We start from the raw sequence: 27,952 nt of genomic DNA, 5'->3' as shown, positions 1-27,952 counted from the left end.
CGGAGTCTCAGGGGCGCGCGCCCGTGGGCGGCTGCGTCACGTGACCCAGGTAATTGGCACGGCGCGCGCGCACCCCTTCCGCGCAGCCCCCTGACCTGCAGCCTCCGGACCTCGCTGCAGCGCGGACCCGGCCCGCCCGCCCGGTGAGCGCGGCGGCCCGCCCCCTCCCGGTCCCTGCGCCGCTGCTTCTCCTGCCGTCCTGGGGACCGGCCCCACAGCTCCTCTCTCCTGGGTCCTGGGGCGCCGCTGCCCGCAGCCCTGAGTCTGGCCCCGCCGGGGGGAGGGGGAGGAGGAACAGACTGTGACCTTGGCTCTGACCTTGGCTGGCCGTGGCCTCCCCCGGGACCCCCAGCCCATCGCGCGCGTACCACCCGGCTAGTCCAGGGTCCTGCGCAGAGGAGCGGGTGCTCGCGGTGGGTTTCTCCAGCCCGAGGACTTCAGACTGCCCCGCGCCTTCCGTGGCCAGGGGAGGGCCCGGAGCTGCGAGGGCTGTGCGGGGGATGGGGAGGGTCAGCGCTGTGCACCTGGCGGGACCCATAGGCAGCTTCGGACTACCAAGGAGCCTAATAGACGGTTTTAACCGCGGTCTCCGATTACAGATGAGAAAACTGAGGCCTGAGAGAGGGCGGCATGGCCTGAGGTCGCTGCTTGCATGGGATGCGCTTCTTCCGCCCCCCGGGAGATGTGGGAGGGGGACGGGGTAATCCCGAGGCCACAGCAGGCTGCAGTACGCATTCGCCGAACCGGAGAGACCCTTTGACGCCCCTCGGCCACCTGGCTCAAGCAGGCCCTAGCAGCCCCTCCCCAGTGTCTTGGAACAGGCCCCAACTAAATAGAATTGCGGTTTGTTGCTGAGCAAAAGCTCATCTGCTTCTCAGAAAGTGGGGTCAGAGTAGACCTGCTGCTGAGAGAATCCAGGCTCTGCTGCTGCCCAGCTTGGAGGGCCCTCTGGGGAGAACCCTTCCCGGCCTCTGTTTACTGATCTCTGCAATGGGTGCATTAGGGAGTAGTCCTCACTAGGGCACCCCAGACAGGGTTGTGTGTGTGGGAGTCTTAGTGGCCATGGTGTCGGCAGTTTTCTGGGGTTGGGTTGAGGTTCTGAGGTTGGGTTGGGGATGCTATGTGACCTTGTCCTCAGAGAAGAGACCCCCAAGAGATACCCAGGGCAACTCTGCTGGAGTCTGGACTGGGCAGGGGGTTGCACAGGGCACCTGACTCTCACTCCTTGTTGCTGTCCTTGACTGTATGGGCAGGAACTAGTAGGGCTGGCTTGGGCTCTGGCTCTAGATACTGAGCCCTCATGCCCTGCTGGGATGCAGGTGGGGGTGGGTGGCAGGCTGCCCTCCTGCCAGGCTGGGTCAAGGTCACAACAGTGCCCAGTGGCCAACCCAGACTGTTTAGTGTTTATAAAACAGTGTTCCTGCACCGGGCCATTCTGGACACAGCCAGACTTTGTCCCTATCTGGCCCAAACTGCCCCATTCCCCTGTGGGGGTGGGAGTGGCGCTGGCAGAGGGAGCAGCTCTGGCTCAGCTGATGGGAACTGCATCGCTAAGAGAAATCTGGCTTACATATTGACTGCAGTGATCAGGGCACAGTCGCTGGAACCCCACACAGCCCTGTCACTCACCAGATTAGCCAGCTTAGCCTCTTGCACCTCAGTTTCTCTGTTTATAAAGTGGAACTGATATGAGTGCCCACCCCATGGGATGTTGGGAGGATTAAATGAGCACAGTATCTGTCCTAGAATCAGTGCTCCTGACGGTGCCTATTATGTTTATTCCCATGACGATGGTCTTGATATCTAGTTTCCTTTGCCATAGACTGGGGATGATAAAGCGTCCTGGGTTGTGGATTCTTTTTGATGCTCTAGAAGATTCTCCCTGATGCTTCAGGAGCTCCTGGGCCTAGTGGCCAGCTGGGCTGGCACGACCTTCTCTTTGCCCAGGCCTCTAGGATAGTCAGAGGTGGAACAGGAGTTGGGACCCTGGCTGCCTGACCCCAGAGCTCATGCCTGGCACTTGGAGAGGTGCTGCTCCCAGAGGAGCCGGCCCCAAGTGCCCCGCGCTCTAGGGCTTGGCATCACTGGCTCGTGGGCTGGGCCACATGACCCGAAGCCTCAGGGGCTGAGCATTGGGGAGGGAAACTTGGGGGCACTCAGAGGCTCCCAAGCTCACCTCCCTCCTCCCTGCAGTGGAATCTTTTTTGTTTTGAAAATTTTCTCTGTTCAGGCTTGCTGCTGGTTGCCCCAGGAGCCTGTCCTCCCTCCATTGAGGTGACATCACCCCTTTCCTCTGGCTCATGTGAGTTAGAAGGAGGGCTGTGCCCTGCCCTCTGGTGGGGCCTGACCTTTTGTGGAAAGTCCAGCCAGTGAGTTTCTGGTGACATGGTTGAGCTGATGGCAGGGGTGAGGCAGAAGGGTGCAACAGGTGTTGGCTGAGCACACCTGACCAGGAGCGTTGGCTCAGGGCCTGGCCTGGGCAGTACTTGGAAGCCAGTTATACCCCAGAATGCACATTTTCTGGGGCCTGAGCTGTCCAGGGGTAGGGGACTCCTCCCGCCTGGGCGACCCCTTGTGGGGTGGTCCTTGCACCCAGCTTACAAGCTGGGCGGTCTGGGCAGGAGGGCATTAGCTGGTATTCATGGGGAGCTGCTCTATGGCAGTGGCTGTGCTGGAGCAGAGGAAGGGGTTCTGCTCACAGTTGTAGGGTGGGGAACAGAGGTCCCACTTTACACATCATGTGTAGGATGAGGTGGCAGGGGTATGGGGTGATCTGGGACCTCAGTAGGCCCTATCAACCCCTAACCTGCCTGGATAGGGATATCTGGGGGGTTCTCCAGGATTGGCAGAGGGCTCTTAGAACTCTTACCGTCTGCGGAATAGAGAAAGCCCCCATCACTGAAAGCCCAAGATTTAGATATTTTCCCTGGGAAGGCACAGGTGACAGAGTGAGGTGAGATGAGCTGCAGGGCCTGGTTCCCCGTGGTCTGGGTGGGCTTCCAGTCTGTACCTGCCTGGACTGTTAGCTGTCTTGAGTGGCGCTGGGCTGGGCCTGGGGCTGCCTTCCATTCTACTCTTCCTGCCCCTCCAGACCTTAGCCCTTCCTGCAATGAAGTGGGGCTATTGTTGGGCCTAGTGTCACCAGCCTTCTGGCTGGGCCTGGGAGAGAGGGCACTCTGGCCCAGGATTGCAGTCACAGGGAGTCACTGGTCACTTTTGGTCGCAATGACTAGAGCCACAGCCCTCCTGAGATAGTGTGCCTCTATCACCCCCGACACCTGTGCTCACTGGATGCTTTTGCCCCTGCTTTTCCCTGACCATGCACAACACACCTGACCCCTGGAGGACTGCCTGCCCTGGTTCTAGGGTGGTGGGCCTGAGACCCACTCCTTCTTGGTGGTACTCCCTGCACCTGCCCTGTGGCTCTCCGAGTGGGCTCCAGGACCTAGGTGGGTGCTCCCTGAGGCAGGGCCTGGGGAGTTCATGTCTCTGCACAGGCTTTGGGGACTATCCGGGAAGGAGTGTGGTCTGGGATGAGTGTGGCACAGCAGGGCTGGGGCTCAGGGCTGTTTGATATCTATTGATAGAGTTTACTGAGCTGGGAGCTTCCACCAGACAGTAAGCCCAGGGGGCTGGGAGAGTGTCACATTCCCAGTCTCATCACTGCCTAGCCCAGCACCATCTGCCCAGTGGGAATGACAAGTGCTGATGAGCGGACAGTGGCTTGGTAGAGCCTCTTCCTGTCTTGGTCCTGCCATTTATGCCTCTCCTTCATTGCCTGTGTCCAGAATGAGTCAGCTGAGGCTGCTGCCGTCCCGTCTTGGGGTACAGGCTGCGAGGCTCCTGGCTGCACATGACGTCCCGGTGTTTGGCTGGCGCAGCAGGTCCTCCGGGCCACCGGCCACCTTCCCAAGCAGCAAAGGTGGAGGCGGCTCCAGTTACATGGAGGAGATGTACTTCGCCTGGTTGGAAAACCCCCAGAGTGTCCACAAGGTCAGCATCCCCACCCTACCCTGGGCCACCGCAAGGGAGGGAAGCCCTCGGGGGCCGGGCTGTGGCAGGGCAGTGGGGAGAAGCAGCTTGCCTGCTGTGTGATCCTGGGCAGGTTTCTTTGCCTCTCAGGTCCTCAGTCATCAAAGCCTGTTGCTTTCCCTTTGCTGAATCAGCCAGTGGGTGGTGGTTTTGATTGAGAGGCCCTGGCCATGTCCTGCTCAGCCACACCTGAGCCCTGCCGTGCCCCCTTTGTCGTGCTATGCTGCCTCCATATGCTCCTTTGTATGTAATTAGGGACATACGTGTTTGTGTATGTATTGATCTGATAAAATAAATACTTGCTGATAGTAAAGAAAAAAATTAAATTAGATGGGAGGGTGAAAAGTGAAGTTGTTCTCTGACCCCTTCACCTGCAGTGGAAAGCAGTGCAGTCACATGATCCAAAGCCAGAAGGTATAAGAAGTTACACAGTCAGAAAGCTCCCTCCTAATCTATCCTCATCTGCTCAGTTCCCACTGTCCCCCAACTTAGTGTCCTCTATATCCTTTCCAAGACTTGCATTAGGTAAACTTACTGCAAATGTAACTCTGGATTTGTCTCCCTTTACGCAAAAGTAACCTGTAACACATACTGTTTTGCTCCCTGCTGTTTTCGCTTGGTGATGTATCTCCAAGATCTTTCCATATCAGTACATGAAGAGCCTCACTATTCACTCTGTCCAGCTGTGTAGTATTCCATTGCATGTATGTGCCACCCCTATTCCTGCTGATGGACATCTGGTTCATTTCTAGTCTCTGACTGTGGCGAACAGTGCTGCAGTGCATCATCTTACACCTTCATCATCTTGCACCTGCAGAGCCATCTGTAGGGTAAATTCCCCAAAGTGGAATAGTTGGGTCCAGGAGTGGCTGTGTATAATTTTGATGGGTATTGCCAAGTTGCTTTCCATGGGGATTGTACCAACTGAGTCTCCCACCAGTGCCGTATGGGAGTGCACGGAGGAAAGCGCTTTTACATTGTTCTTATGGAAAACACATGCAAATGCCTGTGTGTGTTCACATCTGCTTTTTGCTTCTACACAGAGAGTAGCAGCCATACATCCTCTTCTGCTTCATTCACTTTAAAACGTATCTTGGCAATATTCCATGTCCACAATACTGAAAGCACCTTTTTAAAAGACTGTGTAATCTTCCAGATTCTAAATGTAAAATCGTTATTTAGCCAGTTTTCTATGGATAGCCATGTAGGTTGTTTTCACATTGTCAATTTTTGTAAACAGTTCTGCAGGGAACATCGTTGTATGTACATCTAGGCACCCTGGGAAGGCCCTGAGAGCTGTGGTCCTCAAGGAAGACCTGACACTCCTTGGGGCCCCAGCCTGGGCCACCCCTGACTCTTCCCAGGCCCTGACCTGGCTGCGTTCTTGTTTCTGCCCTGCCTAGTCCTGGGACAGCTTCTTCAGGGAAGCCAGCGAGGAAGCCTTTTCTGGCTCTGCTCAGCCACGGCCCCCTTCTGTTGTCCATGAGAGCAGGTCTGCAGTCTCAAGTCGGACCAAGACCAGCAAATTGGTGGAGGACCACCTGGCTGTGCAGTCCCTGATCCGGGCCTACCAGGTGAGGGGCAGCTGAGGCACAGCCTGGGAGGCTGCACTGGCTCCTGGGGTGTGGCCAGGCACTGAAGGGAAGGGGTCTCAGCTCCAACATCATCTCCCCAGAGAGCCCTTCTCCTTGTCCTCTACTGAGCGGCACCTACTCCTCTAGCCAGTCTTTGCCACATCACCATTCAGAGCACTTACCACCTGCTTGAATTTTTTTTTGTGCATACTGACTTGTGTCCTTGTGGTCTGTTCCTTGCACACACCATGCCCCGAGTACGTGGAGGAGCACTTAGTAAGGGATCAATTCCAAAGCCTGTTGAATGAGGGGTGAGTAGATTAACCCTTGTTAATTCTGTTTTCTCCTCTAGAATGGGCATCCTGGGAGAACAGGGACTGATACAGCAGGTGCCTAATTCATGTTTATGGAATGAATGGTTCAGTAAACAATTCTCCCCCACCAGTTGCTCCTCCTGGAGACTTAGGCTCTCCCATGCTGGGCCCCTGCTCTGTCAGAGTCCCAGTGATGGTGTGTGTTTTTGGTCTTGACCAGACAGGACTAATTGGAGGACTGCTGCGGTGTTCAGGCCATAACAAGCGTAATCATTTGGAATATCTCTGGGAACTGCTGGCAGGAGGTATTCCGTCAGGGAAATGTGAGGCAGCAGCAAGCCACAGCAAGGCTAGGGTACAGGGGGGCATTAGCAAATGGAAATGATGCTTTGCCTCTGAATGAGCTGCCCAATCTGTGGGATGGAACAGAGTTCCCTGTACACCACCCACCTGGGGATGGAAGAGGGAAGGTGAGCAGGGTTGGGTTCCCTTCTGGCCTGAGGACCCATCAATTGTGGGCCACCTAGGAGCAAACAGCAGCTATTGTGTATTGTGTCTTTCCTGGCTGGCTGAAAGAAGCAGACAGTGATCTAACCCTTGACTTCAAAAATGAAGAACAAGGATGTAAAACTGTATATTAAATACAGGGAAACGTTCAGGGTGCTGCCCGAGGGCCTTATCTTCTAAGCACAGATCTCAGCCCTTCAGTAGCTCTTTGTTCTTTGATTAACCAAGACGAGGCATTAGAGAGTTTTCCTGGCAGGGTGGCTTCTGGATTCAGGTGTGTTACTCTGTTGTGCCTGGTGTGGATGAGCTCCCACCAGGAGGGCTGCAGCCCCTTACAGGCGAGTAGCAGGCACAGCTGTGGTTAGAATCACCTGCACACTGTGCTGAAAAAAAAACACTGTATTATTATAAGCATTTTCAAACATATAAAAGGCAGAAGGATAGTGCAGTGAGCCCACCACCCATCAATCATGGCCAGCCTTGTTTCATCAATTTCCCCCTTAGCCCCCGCTCACTGCTGATTATCTTGAGGCAGATCCCAGATATAGCATTTCATTCATTGAACATTTCTTTGTGTATGTCTAGAGAAAAGGGCTTCTTAAAAAATGTGCCATGATACCATTATCGCATCTAAACATAATAATGCCTAATATCAAATATGCAGTTGACATTTGTGTTTGCCTTTTGTCCTGTGCTTTCTTTTTTTCTTTTTAGATGGAGTTTTACTCTGTCACCCAGACTGGAGTGCAGTGATGCAGTCTCGACTCACTGTAACCTCTGCCCCACGTGGTCAAGTGATTCTCCTGGCTCAGCCTCCTGAGTAGCTGGGATTACAGGTGCTTGCCACCACGCCTGGCTGATTTTTGTGTTTTCAGTGGAGACGGGGTTTCACCATGTTGGCCAGGCTGGTCTTGAATTCCTGACCTCAAGTGATCTGCCCGCCTTGGCCTCCCAAAGTGCTGGGATTACAGCGTGAGCCATTGCACCCAGCCTGTGCTTTCTTTTTACTGCTTCTTTGAAGCAGGATCCAGCTAAATCCACAGGTTGCAATAGGCTAAAGTGGCTCTTACGTCTCTTGTACTTTGCAGGTTCCCTCTGTTTCTTTTTATGATGTGGAAAAACCAGGTGGTTTGTCCTGTAGGGTTTTCCCAAGTCTGGATTTTGCTGATGGCTTCCTCATGATGTCATTTCATCTGTCCCATTGTCCCATGTAATTTCTGTACTTTGACAATTAGATCTAGAGGCTCGATCCCATAGACATTTGATTTTTTTTTTTTTCAAAATCAGCTTCCTGGTGGTGATGGTGATGGCACTTGAGCAGTTAGCAGCTGTGGATAGTGATTTCCTAGATCCATTAACTCACTAGGGGTTGCAAAAATGGTGATATGCCAATTCTGTTTTGCCTTCTTTATTAACTGAAGTCCCACTATCAGGAGAAACTTCCGTTTGTTAACTCTGTTTATCCTGAGGTGCAGATTGTGTAGGAAAGACAGGATCACTGCTTTATTTTTTTCTTTTATTCAGTGATTTTCAAAATTATGAGGTGATTCCCTAGCACACTCCAAAAGTGACTAATGAAAGTTTATCTTCTTTTTTTTGGATTCATATGAATGCATGAATATAAACATATTTGATGAGTTTCAATCTGCTGTAGGTATACTGTCCTTATAGTTGCTCAAAACTTGTCCTTATTCCCAGCACTCGTGGTGTTTGAACACTGCCTTGATGTTGGTATAACAAGATGCTTCAAGCTCAGCTTGTACATTTCTGCCTATTCCAGAACTGTCCAGGTCTCTGGCTGTTTCCTGCTATTGGTTTGATCATTACTTCTGGGCCCTTTCAGGAATCAGAGCCAGGAAAGGGTTTATACTGATGCTTCTAACGTGCTACAAATGTGGGATTTGGGGTTTGTCCTTGACCCTGTCAATCTTATGGCAACATTGCCTTTAGAGATGTCAAAAATAGAGGTTCTCAAAGATGCCAGTACAATGGCTTGTTTGATTTCCCAGAGCTCACATGCAACAATCTTAGAATAACAGTTCTTTTTTTTTTTTTTTTTTTTTTTTAGATGGAGTTTCTCCTTGTAGCCCAGGCTAGAGCGCAGTGGTGCGACCTCAGCTCACTGCAGCCTCCACTTCCCAGATTCAAGCGATTCTCCTGCCTCATCCTCCCAAGTAGCTGGGATTACAGGCATGTGCCGCCACGCCCAGCTAATTTTGTATTTTTAGTAGAGATGGGGTTTCACCATGTTGGTCAGGCTGGTCTTGAACTCTTGACCTCAGGTGATCCACCCATCTTAGCCTCCCAAAGTGCTAGGATTACAGGTGTGAGCCACTGTGCCCAGCCAGCATAACAATTCTAACACTATTACGACTGACTGGTAATAAAAAAGACTTGATGAATTTTTTTCTGTTTGTCTTTAGGGAATGTTCCATTAGTCAATTGGAATGGTTTCTCTCTGTATTTATGCCACTAAGTGGACATATTTATTCATTTGATTCATTTCACTTTCAATTTTTAAGACTTAATTTTGTTTTATAAGAATGTAAAATATTTACAAGGTTTGAAAGTCAAATCTTCAAAGTAAGATAACTTCTTAAAAATCTGGCTCCTAGCCCTGCCTCTCTATCCTATTTTGTCCCCTCCCCTAGAGGATAATTTTTCTTATGTTGTGGTTTTTTTAAATTTTATGATTTTCCCTTCTAATGCATATATTTATTTGTGTCTCCTTTTTATTAGATAATGTGTAGTTCACCATACATACTTTGCTAGAATTTGCTTTTTTGCTTAACAATATTTTTTAGAGACTACCTTGTAGTATCAGATGGGGATTTTTCTTCTTCCTTTTAATGGCTCTGGAGTGCTCCGCTGTGTGGATCGCCCATATCCATGCGCCAGTCTCCTGCTGATAGACAGTGGGGAAGTTTCTAGAATTTCACTATTACTAGTAGCACCGCAGTGAACACCTTTGTGCATAGGTCTTTTTCCTGTTTTTGCCCGTGCATGTTGTACTTCCAAACCAGGTTGAGCTCCTGCCACCTTACTGGCTGTGGCTGGGGTCTCGCAGGCAGCAGTGAAGTAGCCGCGGGGCAGAGACATGGGGAAGCTTAACATTCGGGAATGGGAAGAGAGGGGCTGGGGCCCAGAGCCTTACCCTGGAGGAGGTCTGTCCAGCTGGGTCCCAGCCCCACCCTGCTCTTTTCCCTCCTCCCAGATCCGGGGTCACCATGTGGCCCAGCTGGACCCCCTGGGCATTCTGGATGCAGACCTGGACTCCTTTGTGCCCTCAGACTTGATCACAACCATTGATAAACTGGGTAAGACCCTTCCTCAGGACGGCCATGGCAGTGCTGTGTGGGTGGCCCAGTAAGGGGCCCACGGGCACTAGGGACAGCCTGATCCTTGGGAATCCATGGAGCTCGGGGAGCAGCCCACAGGGCCTCCTTTCTACCTTGCCTGTGTACTGCCTGTTGTTCCTGAGAAGGATGCCTGCCACTTTCCCTAGCTTGTGCCCCATGTGTTCAAGCCTGAGAGGCTTGTCCACCCTGCCTCCCTGGGCTCACTCTCACTTCTGCTCCCCAGGTTGGACCCAGAGGGAGGGCACTGGGGAGACTGGGAGGTCTGGTGAGACTGCGGGGCTCCACCTGGGCCTGACCTCCCTCCCTCCACTTTGCTGCCCGGGGCTCGGCCACGCCTCCTTCTCCAGCCTTCTATGACCTTCAGGAGGCTGACCTTGATAAGGAGTTCCAGCTGCCGACAACCACCTTCATTGGGGGCTCTGAAAACACCCTCTCTCTGCGGGAGATCATTCGGCGCCTGGAGGTGAGCACAGGCGGGTGTGTGGGGTGCAGCTGAAGCAGCTCTTTGGAGCTTGCCAGAGGACGGGAAGGCACTGTCTTTTTTGTTCTAGACAGCAGGGATGTCAGCCGTCCCTCTTCCCCGCTCCTCATGGGGTCCCAATGTGTCTCCCCAGAACACCTACTGCCAGCACATTGGCCTGGAGTTCATGTTCATCAACGATGTGGAGCAGTGCCAGTGGATCCGGCAGAAGTTTGAGACCCCTGGTGTGATGCAGTTCTCCAGCGAGGAGAAGCGGACCCTGCTGGCCCGGCTAGTGCGCTCCATGAGGTTGGCACCACCTGGAGGGCCAAGTGGCTGGAGGTCCTGCTCCAGGGCTCTATGAGACGTCCCACACCCTGCCTAAGAGAGCAGGAGGGTACCACAGGAAGGCAGGACTGGATCGGCCTCACCACTGGCTGCAGGGAGGAGAGTTGGGACCAGGTGTTTAGGCAGTTTGGCCAAGAGCTGGCCCAAGGCAGAGCAGGTCAGGTGGGCAGGGATGAGGCTCTAGGAGAACAAGAGAGCGGGGACACTGAGCAAGGCCAGAAGTGGCGGGAAGTGGCTGTGGGAACATTTGGGCAGAAAATTATCCCTGGTGTGGAGTGACTGTGGCCACACCACCTGTCTGTTCACTGGACTTTTCTGAAGCTGGGTCCCCCAGGGCTGCAGGGGCTGGGGGAGCACCTGACTCAGCTGCTGGATGCAAAGTGGATTCCTGAGCAGCGAGGTGTGGGCTGGAGTTTGGATCTGGCTGGGTGGAGATCTTTGGGACTTGGCGAAGAGAGCCCTTGAGTGTGGCAGGAGGGTAGTGGGCTAGGAGTGGGTGGGCAGTGGCCTGTTGGAGGAGCTTGGCTATGAGGAAGAGAGAGGGCGGCAGCTGGGAAGGGGTGTAGGCAGAGGCGTTTGGTTCAGCTGGGAAGATGCCTAGCCTCCCCTAACCCTGTGTTCCTTTGCTGGGTGGGACAGGTGTATCCATGGTGGGCCCTGGACCATGTAGGTGGAAGGAGGATTTGTGACTTCCTCTGTCCTCAGCATTCAGCTCTGAGCACTCATGAACAGCCCCTGTGAGCCCCAGTCCCCTCCCTCTCCATCCCTTTCCCTTTCCTCTTCCCATCCTCTCCCCAAGCAGGTTTGAAGACTTCCTGGCCCGGAAATGGTCCTCAGAGAAGCGGTTTGGCCTGGAGGGCTGTGAAGTGATGATTCCTGCCCTCAAGACCATCATCGACAAATCCAGCGAGATGGGGATTGAGAATGTCATCTTGGGGATGCCACACAGGTGGGTCCCCCTCCCTGCTGTGCCTTGCGCATTCTCCTCCAGCCCAGGGGACAGAGGTGGGAGAGATGAGATGGAAATCAGAGCGGAGGTGTTGGTGGGACCTGGGGGTAGAGGTGGGTTTCCTGGAAAGTTCTGAGTCCTGGGCCTGGCCTGCTCGTCACAGAAATTGCCGGGTACTTGGCCAGAGTCACCTGGGGCCGGGTGCTAACCAGGTTATCAGGCACCCTCTCTCCCTGGCCATGTTGCCTCTGTCCCTAGCAAGGGTGAGATTTCAGAAAGCGGTACACTATACTTCTTGAGGTTCCTGTGGACAAGGAGAGGTGGAGGGATTTCTTCCAGGGAAGGGAGGGCAGGGCCTGGGCAGTTGTTCCCGGGTTGTGTCCCCAACAGGGAGGTCTGTGGAGGTGAGCCGAGGGTCTCTGACCTGGCTGCAAGCTGACTGCGTGTTCCCTTGACCTTGATGAAGATCTAGGAGGCTTGCTCAGCAGTGGGGCGTTACCTCTGAGCTGGAGCCTGTGGGGAAGCAGGAGGGGGAATGCACCCTGGGGGACAGAGACGTCTGTGGCCAGGGGTCCTGCTGAGTGGGCATGTGCAGATGTGCAGAGTGGCCTGTGGGAAGGGCCCTGGGCTTTTCCCGTGACCAGAGAGCTGCTTGTGGTTGGACTAGCCCAGGGCTACATCAGCATGAGGGCATCCAAATGCATGGTGCAGGGGTCCCCATTCGTGGCTGGCCTGCCAGGACTTTGGGGTTTGTCTGTCATGGGGGGCCTGGGAATGCCCAGTGTCTGGTCAGAGAGTTAGGCAGAGCTGGCCCAGTGGCCTGAGGCAGCAAGAAAGCATGGGGCTTTAAGCCTCGGGCCATTACAGCAGCAGGAGAGGATGGTGCCTGGTGATTGGGTGGCCTGAGGAGGGCTCTGGGCACGAAGGGGCTGTATTAGGCCAGGCCAGGCCTCCACAGTGGGGGAGGGAACCCTGAGGCCTGCGGGCTTTGCCAGGTGAGAGCCCGGCCCCTCTGGCTCCAGGGGAAGGCTGAACGTGCTGGCCAACGTGATCCGCAAGGACCTGGAGCAGATCTTCTGCCAGTTTGACCCCAAGCTGGAGGCGGCGGACGAGGTGGGTGCCATGCCCAGGTCCCGGCACCCTTGGAGAGCTGGGTGTTTGGGAGGTGGACTGTGGAGGGGCTGAGCCGGGAGCTTCCGGGCTGAGATAAACCTTAAGATGGATGCATTGGAGAAGCCTGCAGGAGAGAGGCTGGGTGTTTGCCTGAGGACCCTAAGGCTTTTTGGAGCAAGGGCTGCAGTCTCTGGTAGCTGGGAGGGCCCTCAGATAATCTGGGTCAACCTCCCTGTTTTGAGCTAGGGAAACTGAAGCCCAAAGATGCAAAGGCTTGCTGGAAGTTGCTCAGTTCTGCTCATGTGGCTGTGCCTCCATGTCCAAAGTCCTGTCCACCAGCCAGGAATGACTCCCTTGCTCATTTGTTTGCCCAGCAGAGCCTTGGGAGGTGAGGATGGTTTTCCGTACCCATCGACCTGCTGAGGAAATGTTGTTCCTGCTCCCACCCCCTCCCTGGGAGGCCTGGGCCAGGCCTTCAGCCCATACTGCCTAGCCTCTTTCTTTCCTTTTCTTTTTGAGATGGGGTTTTGCTCTTGTTGCCCAGGCTGGAGTGCAATGGCATGATCTTGGCTCACTGCAACCTCTGCCTCCTGGGTTCAAGCGATTCTCCTGCCTCAACCTTCCAAGCAGCTGGGATTACAGGCATGCGCCACCACGCCCGGCTAATTTTTGTATTTTTAGTAGAGATGGGGTTTTGCCATGTTGGTCAGGCTGGTCTTGAACTCCTGGCCTCAGGTGATCTGCCTGCCTCGGCCTCCCAAAGTGCTGGGATTACAGGCATGGAGCCACCGCTTCCGGCCACTGCCTAGCCTCTTTCAAAGTCCTGCCCATCTTCCCTTTCGGTGGCTCTCTGGGTCCCCTGGGCAGTGAGCCTGTCACTCCCTCCTCTGTGTCCCTTTGCCCTCAGGACTATCTCTCCTGCTGTCTCCAGCCTGCTGCCGTGTGTGTGTGTGTGTGTGTGTGTGTGTGTGTGTGTGTGTGTGGACCCATACCTACTGGCTCCTATCCCAGGTCTTTCTGACATCCTGTTCCTTTTGTTCTAGCACCTTCAGCCTTCTAAGCCTCACTTTGCTCTTCCATAAAACAGGGATAAAAGCGCATGCCCGAGAATGGTTGCAATGAGTCAAAGATGACCTGTGTGTATAGTGGAAAACTTGGCCAAAGGATGTTTAAAATGAAATTACTATTTTTTTTCAACTGAAAAAGAAATTTGATCATTGTGAAAACAACAAAACAGAACAAAGCTTATACAATGAGAATATGTTCCTCAGTGAGACTCCATTCTTGTGGCCAATTTTGTTTGTGTGCTTCTGTTGTGTTTAGGTGTGTACTTCTAGAAACATTTCATGCTGATACAAACAAACCTCTTTTTCCAGTGCAACCTTATTTCTAAGAGGCCATGGGCATAGCCGTGACACCGGGTGGCACCTTGCTGTTTTCACTTAACAAGTTGTCATTGTTTCCTGCCTGCACACATGGGCTACCCCAGGCTTCTTACAGCTAAAGCATCCCTTGTGCTGGACATTGGGTTGTTCTCATGAGGGTCCTTGCACATGTGTGAGCGAGTTTATCTGTTAGATGGTGTCCGAGCAGTGCAGCGGCTGGAGCTACGGGGGTGGGACTGAACGACCCTCCCAGGAGCTGGCAGATGTCAGCGAGCCCATCCACAGTGTGTGATGGTGCCAGAGCCCCCACCCCACTTCCTCCTACACGCTCTCGAATCCTTTCATCTTTGCCGATATAATAGGTTCAAAAGAGGATTTTGTTGTAATGCATTTCTTTGTTATGAATTCAGTTGCTTATCTTTTCACATGCTTTTGAGCCATTCATATTTTTCTGTAAATTCCTGCTTGTGGCTTTTGCTCATTTTCCTATGGAGTTTTTGGGCTTTATCTTCCTGATTTGTAAAAGCGTTTTGTACATTGAGGGAATTTGCCCTTTGCCTGCATTTGTTTATGAATATTTTTCTCAGCTTGATTTGTTTCCCCTATCGCTGGGCGTGGGTTTGCTCCCCCATGGCAAATTTGCTAGAATTTAGGTGTCTTTTGTGTTTTCTGGTGTTAGGATATTGTGTAGAATGCTGTAAGTCTTCCTTGCTTCAGGGTCATAAAATGTTGTGTGTTCCTCATTGCTACCATTGGTGTGAGGAGTCAGGGGATTCAGCTTCAGTGTTTGCTGGTGGCCTGGCCGAGGGTCTCTGCGCTGATGCCTAGGCACTGCCCTTCTCTCCCTGCCTTCCCCACCGCTGGATGGCCTTCCCCACTCTTGTGCTCTCCTGCTCCATGGTCAGTGTACAGAGAGGCTCTGAGCCAAGGCCTGGGGTCCCTGCCTTCCTCCCTCAGGCCAGTGAGGAGGGGCAGTGTGATGAGGAGAGAGGGGTCAGAGACAGCTTGGCCCTCTGAGGCAGTGGGATCGGGGGAATGTGCCAGCCTGACTGTGGGCTGCAGTGCCTGCCTGTGTATCTGCCTGTCTGATGTGGGAGGGGAGGATCCATCATGTTCCCATCTCCACCTTCAGGGCTCCGGGGATGTCAAGTACCACCTGGGCATGTACCATGAGAGGATCAACCGCGTCACCAACCGGAACATCACTCTGTCGCTGGTTGCCAACCCCTCCCACCTGGAGGCAGTGGACCCTGTGGTGCAGGGGAAGACAAAGGCAGAGCAGTTCTACCGTGGAGATGCCCAGGGCAAGAAGGTGAGCTCACCTGGGGGAACCCAGAGGACCTGGGCCCTTCAGGGTGGGCCCAGAGGGCTGGGCTGGACCCTGGGTCTCCACAGTACAGGTGCCGGCTGGGCTACATGGGCTGGGGCACGCAGCCCCTCCTGGCTCACACCTGCCCTGCAGGTCATGTCCATCCTGGTTCATGGGGACGCCGCCTTTGCTGGCCAGGGCGTGGTATATGAGACCTTCCACCTGAGCGACCTGCCCTCCTACACGACCAATGGTACCGTGCACGTCGTCGTCAACAACCAGGTGAGCATGTAGGCTCCACGCTGGGCCTCACAGCGTCAGCATCCCTGGAAATCCAGGCAGTAGCTTGCGGGGAAAGTGAGATGCTCCTGGCTCTGAGCCCACTGCTGTGCTGCTTACCAGGCAGGACCCTGCTCTTTCCAGCCTTGGTGTCCTGGTCTGTGAAATTGGAAGACACAATAGGGAGGGATAAGTAGGGCTGGAAGGACCAAAGGAGCACCTGTGTAGCGAGTGCCTCATGGAGGCTGGCCGTGTGCAGCCCCACATGGGCAATCTTAGACACAGGGACCTTGGTGCCCTTTCTCTAAGGCAGCTGAGCTTCTAACAGCTCATATGGAGTCTAGAAAGCCCTGTGTTCACTGCCTTGTTTGCATTAAGTCACGTCATCGTCCTTGAACATCCTGTGAGGTGGGAATTTAAGTGACCCCTTTTTATAGATGAGGAAACAGGCTGTGGGTATGTAAGCACCTTGCCCCAGGTTGCAGTTAGCCGTTGTTAGGACTGGATTTTCCAGGCCTATGTTCCTCACTACCAGTGTGTCAAAGTGACTGGCGAAAAAGAGCAGGCTCCACCCGGCTGGTGCTGCTGCCGTCCCCGTGGGAGCTGTTGCCGTGTCTAATTGTGGGGCTGCTCACCATCACCCTGTTGTGTCCCACATTCCTCCTGGGCACCTCAGTGGACCTTGAGCATCCCCCTGCTCAGTCTCCAAGGCTGGCACCTTCTATCTCACTCTAAGTAAATTGAGAGGCGCAGCAGGTTTCTCCTGCCTCTGCAGATTGGATTCACCACAGACCCCCGAATGGCCCGCTCCTCACCATACCCGACCGACGTGGCCCGGGTGGTCAATGCGCCTATCTTCCATGTGAATGCCGATGACCCAGAGGCTGTGATATATGTGTGCAGTGTGGCAGCCGAATGGAGAAACACTTTCAACAAAGATGTTGTCGTGGACCTGGTGGGTCTGGGGACTGAGGCCAAGGCATGGGTGGGTGGCCCATCCCTGCTGTGCTGAGCCAGCCATGTCATCAGCATCTTCAGCACTCAGGGCTGGGAGTGCTTCTTGGATGAGAGATTTATGCCACCAAGAGCAATCTGTGCAAAGGCCTGGGACGGGACATTCATTCGGTGATAGGTGATAGTGGAGCTCAAAGGGCTCCCAGTGGGTGTGCCCTACCCAGATATTCCCCAATTTTGCAGCAGCTACATTGACCACACAGCGTAGGGAAGGGCCTGAGCCCCTCTGGCTGCTCCTGCAGGTCTGTTACCGCCGGCGTGGCCACAATGAGATGGACGAGCCCATGTTCACCCAGCCGCTCATGTACAAGCAGATCCACAGACAGGTGCCTGTGCTGAAGAAGTACGCAGACAAGCTGATTGCCGAGGGCACAGTCACCCTGCAGGAGTTTGAGGTGGGCAGGCAGGCTGCAGGGGCGCCCAAGACAAACTTTGGGTGGGGACCCTGGAGAGGGGTTGTAGATGTTACCAGCCCAGTGCTGGGCACTAAGGATTTAAAGAAGTAGCCACTATGGTCCTTGTCCCCAAGAGGCCCCAGTTACCAAAGGGGACCAAGAACTAAGGATGCAGTTACAGCCAAGTGGGACACAGTGGGTACTGCAATGTGGGGGAAGTCCAGCCTTGAGCAGGAGTGCGGGAAGGCTTCCTGTAGGAGGCAGCCCTGAGCTGGGGTTGTCCCCATAATTATCTATGGAGTGTTCGTCCTTCCACCTTCATGGAGCTCTGAGGGCAAGGACTACAAGTTTCCAGAGCCTTCTCCAAGCCCCTTGCTGAGCGCACTGCAGGCCTGCCCAGCCTCGGGGTACCTGTACAGGATCCCCTGAACTCTGAGACTTTGGCTTCTAGCCATGAGGTCCCTATAGGCCAGAGACAGAGAGTTCTAGAAGAACTTGGTGATGGGGACCAGGACTTACGAGTCCAAGTGGACTGGGCGTCTGGCTGCGCAGGGCTTTGGTGCTCTGTCCACATCTTCATCCTGATTCCAGGAAGAAATTGCCAAATACGACCGGATCTGTGAGGAGGCTTATGGCAGGTCCAAGGATAAAAAGATTCTGCATATAAAGCACTGGTTGGACTCCCCCTGGCCTGGTGAGCGAGCAGTGTGTGGCTCAGAGGGACTCCCCTGGGCCTTGAGGTCTTGCACTGGGATCAGGACTGGAATGGCCCTGGGTGACAGCTGTCATTGCCTAGTCTAGAGGCTGCAGGCTCTATCACTGAGTCCCCAAAGCTGCGTGGGGCCGATTCCTGCAAGTCAAGGATAGCATTGCCCTCTGAGCATGGATGGCCAGGTGCTCACTGAAAAGGGAGGGCATAGCCAGGTGGGAGAGGAAGCCCTGGGCACTGGATGCTTGGGGCCAGGGTGCTCAGAGGGCCTCCCTGGGGGGCAGGGTTAGAAGAGCTGTTACCCTGGGGCCCAGAGGTGGGTGTTGGGCCTGTGGGGGAGTTGCAGCTGTGGCTGTCCAGCTGTCCCAGGTCCCAAGGGTGGGCTCAGGGTGAGTCCGAGTGCCGGTGGAGTTTGGGAAGCCATGGGCCACTCAGTCCTGGGGAGGCAGGCTGGCCAGGGGGATCAGAACCCACCACTGACACAGTGTGGACAGAGCCTCTCTCCCTCTCAGGCTTCTTCAACGTAGATGGGGAGCCCAAGAGCATGACATGCCCAGCCACGGGGATCCCTGAGGACATGCTCACCCACATCGGCAGTGTGGCCAGCTCTGTGCCCCTGGAGGACTTTAAGATCCACACTGGTGAGGTTGCTGGACAGGCTGCAGCCCAGGCTGCTGGCCCCACCCCAACACTGTGCCTCGAAGGGAGATTGGTTGGGATGCAAGAGAGATGGTGTGTCGCATTCCTGCTCAGTCTGTAGTGGGTCCACGTAGCTCTCGGCACCATGTCTGTGCCCGTGACAGTAGCTCTTTTCAGGGTGGGCGTGGCGAGCTGGGCAGCTCCAGATGCCACACTCCCAGCTGGGTACCAGTGACTAGTCTTAGGTTGGGGACCTTGGATTTTCCAAATGCCTTTGCCGGGGCGTCCCTGGGTCAGGCAGAAGAGCAGGAAAGCAAGGGCTCCCATACAGGGGCTGGAACGCAGCCTGGAACGTGGGCAGAATTCTGCAGCTGAAAGGACGGTGGCTTGCCGGGGCCTGGACCAATGACCGAGGGCAGCCCCCCCACTCCGGGGTGAGACTAGAATGTGGGTGGTCACCGACTGCATCCCTTGGCTGGGGCCACTGTGACCTTTGCCTGGGAAGTCCGGAGGGTCCCCTGTGGCTGTATTGGGGTGCCTACACACCCTCTGACCCACCTGGGGGAGTTCTGAGGGGGTTCCCTTACAGTGTGCACCGAGACCGAATGTCCTGGGGCAGCTGCTGACAGCGTTTGGGGCATGTGCCCGCTCTGTTTGTGTGTTAGCCTCTGTGTGTGGGGCTGACAGGAGCACAGCATAAGCCTGGGGACTTGGAGTCAAATCCGTGTACCTTGACAGCTGTGTGATCTGAGTAAATGACTCTGAGCCTGACGGTGTCTGCAACGTGGCCAATGCTTGCCAAGTGGTACCTGCTCCACCCCTCCACAGGCTCGGGGTAGCCCCTTGTCTCAGCTGGAGGAGGGGTGCCTGGCCCTGGGCCCTCCTGCAGCATCCCTGCCCTCCAACCAAATCAACAGATGGCTGCCCTGCTTTGTGCGGGGTGTGTGCTGAGCACCTACCTACCCGCCCCAGGGCTGGCTGTCCCTTGGCCCTCAGGCCAGCACTCCTTTCCCACAGGCCTCTCTCGCATTCTGCGGGGCCGTGCGGACATGACCAAGAACCGGACGGTGGACTGGGCGTTGGCAGAGTACATGGCCTTTGGCTCCCTGCTGAAGGAAGGCATCCACGTGCGGCTCAGCGGGCAGGATGTGGAGAGGGGCACATTCAGGTGAGCGCAGTGGGGCTCAGCATCCGCACAGGAGACCTGGAGCAGAAGCTGGGCCTGGCTTGGGGATCCCGAGGGGGCCTTTGTTGGGGTGGGATCTTCACAGCATCCCTAGCCCCTGCCCTCAGGTGGCATCATCAGATGGCCACCTCGCTGACCCCCCAGGGCAAGTGTGCAGAGCTCACTGCTGGGCCCAAGCTGTCCACTAAGGTCAAGCTGGTGGCCATCTGTGGTCCTCAGGATCATGTGTGTGTGGGGGGTGTGTGGTGAGTGTGGGCGAGTTGTGTGTGGTGTGTGTGTGTGGTGTGTTTGGTGTGTATGTGGTGTGTGGTATGTGGTGAGTGGGGGGAGTGTATAGGGGGTGTGTGTGGTGCGTGTGTGTGGTGTGTTTGTTGTATGTGTGGTGTGTATGTGTGTATGGTGTGTGTGGTGTGTGTGGGGGTGTGGTGTGTATTTGTGGGTGTGTGGTGTGTTGTGTGGTGCATGTGTGGTGTGTGTCGTGTGTGGTGTTTGTGGTGGGTGTGGTGCATTTGTGGTGTGTGTGGTGTGTGTTGTGTGTTGAGTGTGTATGGGGTATGTGTGGTGTATGTGTGGTGTGTGCGTGTGTGGTTTGTGGGGGTGTGCGTATGTGTGTGGGGTGTGTATAGTGTGTGTGGGGCGTGTATGGTGTGTGTGATGTGTGTGTATGTTTGGTGTGTGTGTAGGGTGTGTATGTGTGTAATGTGTGTGAGGGTGTTTGTGTGGTATGTGTGGGGTGTGTGGTGTGTAGTGTGGTGTGCGTGTGATATGTGTGGTATGTGTCATGTTTGGTGCATGTGTGGTGTGGTATTTGTGGGGTGTGTGTGGTTGTGTGTGTGTAGTGTATGTAGTGTGTGTGGTGTGTGTGATTGTGTTTGTGGTGTGTAGTCTGTGTGGTGTGTGTGTTGTGTGGTATGTGTGGTGTGTGTGGTATGTGTGGTGTGTGTAGTGTGTGTGGTGTTTGGTGTGTGTGCATGGATGTGTGTGGTGTATATGTGTGTGGTGTGTTTTGCATGTATGTGTGGTATGTGTGATGTGTGTGTATGTGGTGTTTGGTGTGTGTGGTGTGTGTATGTATGTGTGTGGTGTGTGTGTATGTATGTGTTTGGTGTGTGGGGATGTGTATGTGTGTGTGGTATGTGTGGCATGTGTATGTATGTGTGTGGTGTGTGTGTGTACTGCTGTTAAGTCAGCCCCTATCTTGCTTGTTTGCAGTTGTCTTTGTGAATCCAAATGGGGACTTGACACTTGTCAGTTGTCCACACCACATTTCCTCTGGTTCGGGTTCCTAAAATGTTCTAGATCCTGCCTCAGTCCGCTCCTGGTTAGCAAGCCAGGGTGGTGTGGCTTCCAGGACTTGACCAGCTGGCTTTCTCATTCCTGGTTGCTTATCTCGGCTGGTCTTGCTCCAGCCAGGGCCCAGGTGGCCCTCTGATGCACCCAGAGCTACCTGTCAGTCCTTGCCAGGGACTGGGGTTCAGCCAGGCGCCCCTCACTTACTGTGCCCACCTCGGCTACTGCACGGTGGTTTCTGCCTCTTGTGAGTTGGGACAGGGCTGGTGAGATGGTAAAGAAGCCAGCAAGACGGGGCAGGGGAAGTGGCCTCCTAGGGTCTCTGGCTCTAGCTGGCACCTGGGAAGTGTCTTATCAGGTCCCCTTTATGGGTGAAAAGCTGACATTCAGAGAGGTGCCACAACTCACAGCTCCTTCCCCCAGACCCCCCAGTGCGTGGTGTGTGGGCGCTGCTAGCAGGCAGGGGGCAGGCTGGGGAGGCCTGGTGGGGGACAGGCTGCAGGAGGGACCACATGGCTCTGGTTTTCCACAGCCTTCTTGGATGCCATGTTGTGGGACCCTGCAGGTTTCCTGGGACAGTGACGGAGGCTTGCCTGCCTCCTGCTGCCCAGCTCCCCTGCTCCAGGTGAACAGGTGCCAGCCCACCTGCCCTCTGTCCCTGCCCCGGTCTGTGTCTCTGCAGTCACCGGCACCATGTTCTCCATGACCAGGAGGTTGACCGCAGGACGTGTGTGCCTATGAATCATCTCTGGCCTGACCAGGCCCCGTACACCGTGTGCAACAGCTCCCTCTCGGAGTACGGAGTCCTGGGTGGGTCCACGCTCTCCTGCAGGCCAGGCAGGCCCCAGACACCTGGGGACAAGAGATGGGCTGGGAAGGGACCGGGGCCAGGGCCTGGGAGGGGCGAGAGATGCTCAGAGGCCCTTAGGGGATGGCCCTGGGGGATGGTGATTGGGCTGCCCTCACCTAAGGCCATGTGGGAGGTGAAATCGTGTCCCATCTGGGCCCCTTGGGGATCCCAGTTGGGGGGACCTCCTTGCCTTGAGGGGTTTTGTGGGTATCAGGGCCCCAGTGGGCGCAGACAGAGAGCCCAACACAGTCTGCTGTGGGTTCCAGCTGCTGAGCAGTCCAGTCTTGGCCCAGCCCTCTCACATTCCTTTGAGCCCCATCTTGCCTCCTCTGCCCTGCACCCTAGGAACACTGCACTGAGATCCCTTCTCTGGGCTCTGGGCTTCCCTGCCTGTGTCCCCTGTGCATGCTCTCCCTCAGATGCATCATTAGCTGGCTCACCTCGTCCTCACTGCCTGCCCCTAGAGGCCAGGCAGCCCCCCGCCCCCAGGCAGATGCCTCTAGGGCTGTTTCTGCCCCTTCTCCTTAGCAGCTCTGCATGTTTTTAAGGAGTTCTTGACAGATGGTCCCTGTTGCCTCCCCAGGATACCTAAATAAGGTTGAACCTGACCACACATGATAGCAGGGCTGAGGGTAGCATCTCTGAGCATGTTGTCAGCCCCCAGGATGGTACATTGTACCCTTTGAATCCCAGGGAATCCCTGGGTTCGTCCTGGCTTGTGAGAAGGATGGGTGGGGGCATGGAGGATATACTGAGAAAGGCTAAATTTGACTGGAGCCACTGCCACTTGGTGACTGTGTGCAGCAAGCTCTATCTTGTCTTCTGTTTAGGCTTTGAGCTGGGCTATGCCATGGCCAGCCCCAATGCCCTGGTCCTCTGGGAGGCCCAGTTTGGGGACTTCCACAACACGGCCCAGTGCATCATCGACCAGTTCATCAGCACCGGCCAGGCCAAGTGGGTGCGGCATAATGGCATTGTGCTGCTGCTGCCCCATGGCATGGAAGGCATGGTGAGGGCTGCGGTGGTGGCTGGTGGCTTGGTGGGTTCTGGCGGGCCTTGAAGGGGCGGGATGGACCCTGGGCCCCTTGTCGGGTTGGACGGTATATGCCTTCCAGGCCCCTGGAGCACGTGGGTCTGTGCAGGGTGGGGTCTGCACATGTGCATGCTGCAGCTGCTGAGACGATGATGCTACCCCTGGCAGCAGAAGGCGCTACCACGTATGAGTGCTTGCTGTGCGCCAGGCACTGTTCAATGCTTCTGAATGTTAACTCTTCCAATCCATACAACTTAATGAAGTAGGCTGTGTTCCTGCTTTTCAGATGAGGAAACAGAGGCACAGAGCTGGGGAGTAGGTTGCCCAAGGTTTCACAGCTAGTAGCTGGGGTTTGAAGCTATCCTGTGCAGTACTGCCTGTTCTCTGGTCCCCTCCTGTATGACCTGCCTCTGCAGCCACACATGGGGCAGAGGGAAGACATGCAGGCTGGGTGCATCCTCCGGAGGCTCCTGGGCTAGCAGGAAGGGAGGAAGGAGCAGGGTGTCATGTGATACCATCTGGTGGGCAGGTGGCCTGACCAGGCAGAAGGGAGACAGGCAGGGGGCTCATTGCCACCATTATCCCTGAGTGGCATGTTATGAGCACTTTACAGGCTGCATACTCGGCATCCTCACAACACCGGGTATCAGTGAGGAGGGAGGTGAGGCTCCCTGCTTGGGGCTGCCTGCCGTGAAGGCAGCTTCTTGGGAGGCCAGATCTGGGCCAGGCTGGGTGTGGGGGGCTGGGTCCTTGGCCGTCCCCACCAAGAGAGGGCAAGTGGCAGCTGTGCAGTGGGTCATCCCCGTCCTGCAGGAGCTGGCTTGGAGATGCCCCTGGGCTTGTCTTGCTGCTTTCATGGAGCAGAGCGGTCCGTGTGGGTGAGGGTGGGCGAGGCCCAGGCCGAGTTGGGTTGGCCCCTGCCTGGCTGTGTGGTCATGGGTGGTTTCTTACCCTCTCCTTGCCTCTTCATCTGTGCAGTGGGGAAGAGTGTCTGCATCATGGGGCTACTTTGGGGGTTAGCGATAAGGCGTGTGGGATTCCTAGAACTCTGCCTCCTGTACAGCAGGTGCTCAGTCAGTGGCAGCCACTGTTCCAGGACATTCCAGAGAAAGCACGTCTCAGTGCGGGCTTTTTGCTTTTTCTTCTGTCCCTGCAAGTTCACATACTGTGCTAGCTCTGGGCAGACCCCACTCTGAGGATTCCCATTCTGCTCTTGTTCCACATTCTTGGTTCTTTTCTATGGTTCAGGCTCCAGGGTGAGGGCACCTCTGCTGAGAAGCCCTCCAGACTTTCCCCTGAGCCTGGGGTCCCTGCAGGGCCAGATGTCTTTCCCATGGTGGGGTCCAGCCTTGGCTGTCTGGCGTTTGCTTTCAGGGCCCAGAGCACTCGTCAGCGAGGCCCGAAAGGTTCCTGCAGATGAGCAATGATGACTCGGATGCCTACCCTGTGAGTGTTGCTGCTGTCCCCAGGACAGGGACGCGCCCTATTGTGCCCACAGGGCTAGGGGTCCAGGGTGTGGGTGCAGCAGACAGCCACCCTGGCCATATGCATCTCGTCCCCACAGGCATTCACCAAGGACTTCGAGGTGAGCCAGCTCTATGACTGCAACTGGATCGTGGTCAACTGCTCCACACCGGCCAACTACTTCCACGTGCTGCGCCGGCAGATCCTGCTGCCCTTCCGCAAGCCGGTGAGTCTCCGTCCCAGGGCAGGGGTCACAGGCAGGGGGCCTGGCCAGGCAGGGCCAGCTGGCAGCTGGGCGTGTATTTCCCTTCCAGCTGATTATCTTCACACCTAAATCTCTGCTGAGGCACCCAGAGGCCAAGTCCAGCTTTGACCAAATGGTATCCGGTACGTGCCTGGCCTGGGTGTGTGGGGTAGCCCACAATGGGGCGGTGGCCCATTGTGTGGCTTCTGCTTCTGGGGCTTCTCCAACCTCCCCTCTGCCTGTGGCTCTGCTGACCTGCAGCAGCTCCTGGCATGGTCCCACTAGCAGTAGGGTTGGGAGGTTGGCACAATGGCTGACCTGGGCCAGCTCAGGTCATGTGGGTTGCGTCCATGGTAGAGTCCACTGGGGCCCCCTTAGACCCTAGCAGGGCTGGTCGAGGCCTGGCAGAGGCCTGCTGAGTTCGCAAGATATTGAGTATCATTCATTCATTTGTCCATTTTAAAAATTCATGAGCCAAACAGACATTACAGGCCCTGGGGTCCTGGTGTCCCCTCCAGGAGTCTTTGGCCTTATTTCCCTGGGAGTCAGATCAGATAAAACACTATAGTTGCAACTGAGAGGTGACTATGTCCAGGGAAGGACAGGTGTGAGGCTGGTGGAGCAGAGCTGTCTTGGAAAATGGTCCTGGGCAGTAGAGGGAGGGCTGGGAAGGGCCTCAGCATGGACAGGGGTTGGATTTTCTCCCATGTGTGTTTGGATGTCCCCTCTGTGCAGGTGGGCAGCTGTTAGAGCTCTGATGTCGGGACTGGACTACCTGGGCTACCTGCCCTGTGCTGGCTTCTCTCTTGAGGGCCTGGGATCCATTTGTCCTCTCTACCCCAGAGTCTTCACCTGAGATGCAGGGATGTGAGGACACTACAGTAGCTTCCTGAGAGGTTTTGCAGTGTGCGTGACCTGGGGTCAGGATCATGGGCTCAGGAAGGAAGAATGGTTGGGGCTTGGAGGTGAAGCTCAGCTGCCAGGCTGAAAGAGGAGGAGCATGCAGCAGCCTCCTGGGACATCTGCTTAGTGGTGGGGGACTGCAGTGCTCTGCAGGAGGTGGGCGCAGCTGGGCAGAAGCAAGGTTGGGGCAAAGGATGATGCCATCATGTTGCCTTCTCTGTCTCCTTCAGGGCGCTTCTTATTGTACCCCCACCTCCGGTCACCTTAAACGTGATGCTTCCAGGGCTCAACCCTTGGGTGTCTCCACCCCTCTCCCTATGACAGCTCAGGGTGTCATCTGCCCCCTGCTCCATCTTTTAGTTCAAGAGGTGTCCACTGCAGCCACAAGTCCAAACCTGCAGTTAGTGTCAGTGGCTAAGGAGAGCCTGGGGATGCAGGCCTGGTCCTGAGCTGCCCCAGCCCCTCTGGGTACCAACGCCTCTGCCATGTCCTGTTGGTCCCTCAGGGACCAGCTTCCAGCGGGTGATTCCTGAAGATGGGGCCGCAGCACGGGCCCCTGAGCAGGTGCAGCGGCTCATCTTCTGCACGGGAAAGGTGTACTATGACCTGGTGAAGGAGCGGAGCAGCCAGGACCTGGAGGAGAAAGTGGCCATCACGCGCCTGGAGCAGGTGTGCCTGAACCCCTTGTACAGTCAAGTGATGGGCAAGCTCACGTCGCTGGCCCCGGCTCTGGCCAATGTGCCAGGCAGGCCAGATGAAGGCCGGTGAGGCCCTGTGCCTCCTGTCCGGGGGTGCTGGGGACATACCGCCCCTCCTCTGGCTATGCTCCTTTGTTTCTGCCTCCCCAGATCTCTCCATTCCCCTTCGACCTGATCAAGCAGGAGGCAGAGAAGTACCCAGGTGCGGAGCTGGCCTGGTGTCAGGAGGAGCACAAGAACATGGGCTACTATGACTACATCAGCCCACGCTTCATGACCATCCTGAGGCGCGCACGGCCCATATGGTACATGGTGGGGCCGCTGATTGCCCCTCACCTCGGCCCTGAGGCTCTGTCCTGGCTCCATCTGTCCCATAGGCCATGCTACCCAGAACTGGCCCTGCCCTTCTCTGGTGATGAGCAATGATGGGGCATCATCAGTACTGGCTTTGTGTTTGTTCTGCAGCCAGAACTGTATTAAGGAACCTGCTACATGTCTCAAAACTCCTGCCTTAGATCTTAGGCCGGTTATGTAGTCCTTGGAGCCTTAGTCCCTGCATCTCTACAAAGGGCGGTGATAAGATTAGATCTGATGTATGTATTAGCTCTGGCACATGGTGCGTTCCCAATACTGGCATCATGTGTTCCTGGGAAGATGGGAGAGGGTCCTGAGAAACTCCAAGAAGCCAAAAGTATGTTTGTCCCCAAAGTCTTTGAGTTGTTGCCTCATTTGTTGTCCTCATGGGCAAGTGCAGTGACATGGAGGGACAGTTTCTCCCCACTCTTCTGTGGCTAGGTGACTGAGTTTGATCCGGGCTTTGCAGCTCATTGGAAGTGGTGCCAGGGCCAAAAGGCAGGGTCTATGGCTTCGAGGTCAGCGGTTCTCAGATGCGTGCCCCCTGCAGTCCCGGAGTGAGGGCAGCGGTTGGGGGGCGGCTAGGCCCCGCCTTCCCCTTAGCTTGTCTCTCCTCCTCCAGGTATGTTGGCCGGGACCCAGCGGCTGCACCAGCCACAGGAAACAGGAACACTCACCTGGTGTCACTGAAGAAGTTTCTGGATACTGCCTTCAATCTCCAGGCCTTTGAGGGCAAGACATTTTAGAGCTGGGCAAAACCTGTGTAGGTCTCGCTGTGGGTTTGCTGGGGACCAAGGGGGTGATGAAAAGGGGAGGGGCGGAGCTCCTGCCCAGGAGAGGGGCTGTGGGGCCCCAGGATAAAACAGACACAGTGACAGGGCCAAGAGCCAGCACTGCTGGCCTTGGTGTCATGCCAGAATCTACCAGGACTGAGGGAGCCAGAGGAGTCCTATAGGCAGGCTACTGTGCTGGAGCATCCCCCAGCTGCTCCCATCTTGCTGGAATTTCTTGGGCGGCTTCTCCACCTGTATCTCAAGACAGACACCCGGGGGCCTGTGTCTGTGGCCGCTCCCATCCCGGCAGCCCTGGCTGCTGCTCGCCCCACCCTCGCTTATCTGTAGATTCAAAGCGATGTTCTCTTCTGTGCTCTTAGAAGTAGGGAGTTCAGCAGTAACAGCCAGGTGAAGCGAACCTGCTGGGTGATTTGTTTGCGCTCTGTTTTATGGGGCATTCCTGCGAGATGTGTCAGCTTCTGTGTGAAATGCAGCCACAGCTCATGTGTACCAAAGTAGAAAACCAAATCACAGAGAAATAAAAACATGCTTCAGAGAGATTTGCTGTTTTCATTTCATGTTGTAAAACTGGGGGAGGGATAGGCAGTTGAGAGAAGGTAGGGAATGGGGAGAAAGTTAAAAAAATGGAGAGAAGAAAATATCTGCCTCCATGGATATTTTTTTGAGACGGAGTTTGGCTCTTGTCACCCAGGCTGGAGTGGAGTGGTGCGATCTTGGCTCACTGCAACCTCCGCCTCCCAGATTCAAGTG

The 27,952-nt window shown here is 55.4% G+C and overlaps 1 protein-coding gene across 18 annotated transcripts, besides 3 other annotated features; it reads left to right on the top strand.

The window, feature by feature from the left end:
- Window positions 3–27,741, top strand: OGDHL (oxoglutarate dehydrogenase L). 18 transcript variants are annotated; one of them, XM_011539946.3, is made up of 23 exons: window positions 7–49; window positions 3,789–3,993; window positions 5,436–5,606; window positions 9,642–9,744; window positions 10,134–10,249; window positions 10,401–10,555; window positions 11,397–11,543; window positions 12,566–12,656; window positions 15,174–15,353; window positions 15,504–15,632; window positions 16,405–16,584; window positions 16,886–17,038; window positions 17,630–17,732; window positions 18,260–18,388; window positions 19,404–19,554; window positions 21,545–21,672; window positions 22,543–22,721; window positions 24,120–24,191; window positions 24,310–24,435; window positions 24,524–24,596; window positions 25,862–26,025; window positions 26,205–26,359; window positions 27,031–27,741. In XM_011539946.3, exons 2-23 carry the CDS (start codon window positions 3,790–3,792, stop codon window positions 27,152–27,154), a joined length of 3,033 nt encoding a protein of 1,010 aa, XP_011538248.1. In that variant the 5' UTR covers window positions 7–49; window position 3,789; the 3' UTR covers window positions 27,155–27,741. The 18 variants fall into 18 exon arrangements, 13 of the variants coding, with proteins under 13 accessions (NP_001334749.1, NP_001334752.1, NP_001334751.1 ...); NM_018245.3 differs by lacking the exon at window positions 7–49 and adding an exon at window positions 59–143; NM_001347821.2 differs by lacking the exon at window positions 7–49 and adding an exon at window positions 59–143 and having other exon boundaries at window positions 5,436–5,917.
- Window positions 99–308: a silencer, noted in NCBI's record as "silent region_2364". NCBI's record gives its function as "represses an Ori minimal core promoter by ATAC-STARR-seq in GM12878 lymphoblastoid cells {active_cell/tissue: GM12878}" and the evidence as "EXISTENCE:reporter gene assay evidence [ECO:0000049][PMID:35858748]".
- Window positions 3,416–3,925: an enhancer, noted in NCBI's record as "H3K4me1 hESC enhancer chr10:50966503-50967012 (GRCh37/hg19 assembly coordinates)". NCBI's record gives its function as "activates a minimal SCP1, AML or CMV promoter by ChIP-STARR-seq in naive H9 embryonic stem cells {active_cell/tissue: H9 hESC(naive)}" and the evidence as "EXISTENCE:reporter gene assay evidence [ECO:0000049][PMID:30033119]".
- Window positions 3,926–4,437: an enhancer, noted in NCBI's record as "H3K4me1 hESC enhancer chr10:50965991-50966502 (GRCh37/hg19 assembly coordinates)". NCBI's record gives its function as "activates a minimal SCP1, AML or CMV promoter by ChIP-STARR-seq in naive H9 embryonic stem cells {active_cell/tissue: H9 hESC(naive)}" and the evidence as "EXISTENCE:reporter gene assay evidence [ECO:0000049][PMID:30033119]".

This window comes from Homo sapiens, chromosome 10, assembly GCF_000001405.40.
Source record: "Homo sapiens chromosome 10, GRCh38.p14 Primary Assembly".
NCBI lineage: Eukaryota > Metazoa > Chordata > Mammalia > Primates > Hominidae > Homo > Homo sapiens.
Note: the sequence above shows the minus strand (reverse complement) of the source record. Positions and strands in the feature narration are given on the sequence as shown.

What these genes read in the sequence shown, in the direction of transcription:
- OGDHL (XM_011539946.3), top strand. Translation starts at nt 3,790, where the DNA reads ATGAGTCAGCTGAGGCTGCTGCCGTCCCGTCTTGGGGTACAGGCTGCG. An exon ending in ACGTCGTCGTCAACAACCAG is followed by an intron (nt 15,633 to 16,404) that starts GTGAGCATGTAG and finishes CTGCCTCTGCAG; the next exon opens with ATTGGATTCACCACAGACCC. An exon ending in CCCATGGCATGGAAGGCATG is followed by an intron (nt 22,722 to 24,119) that starts GTGAGGGCTGCG and finishes GTTTGCTTTCAG; the next exon opens with GGCCCAGAGCACTCGTCAGC.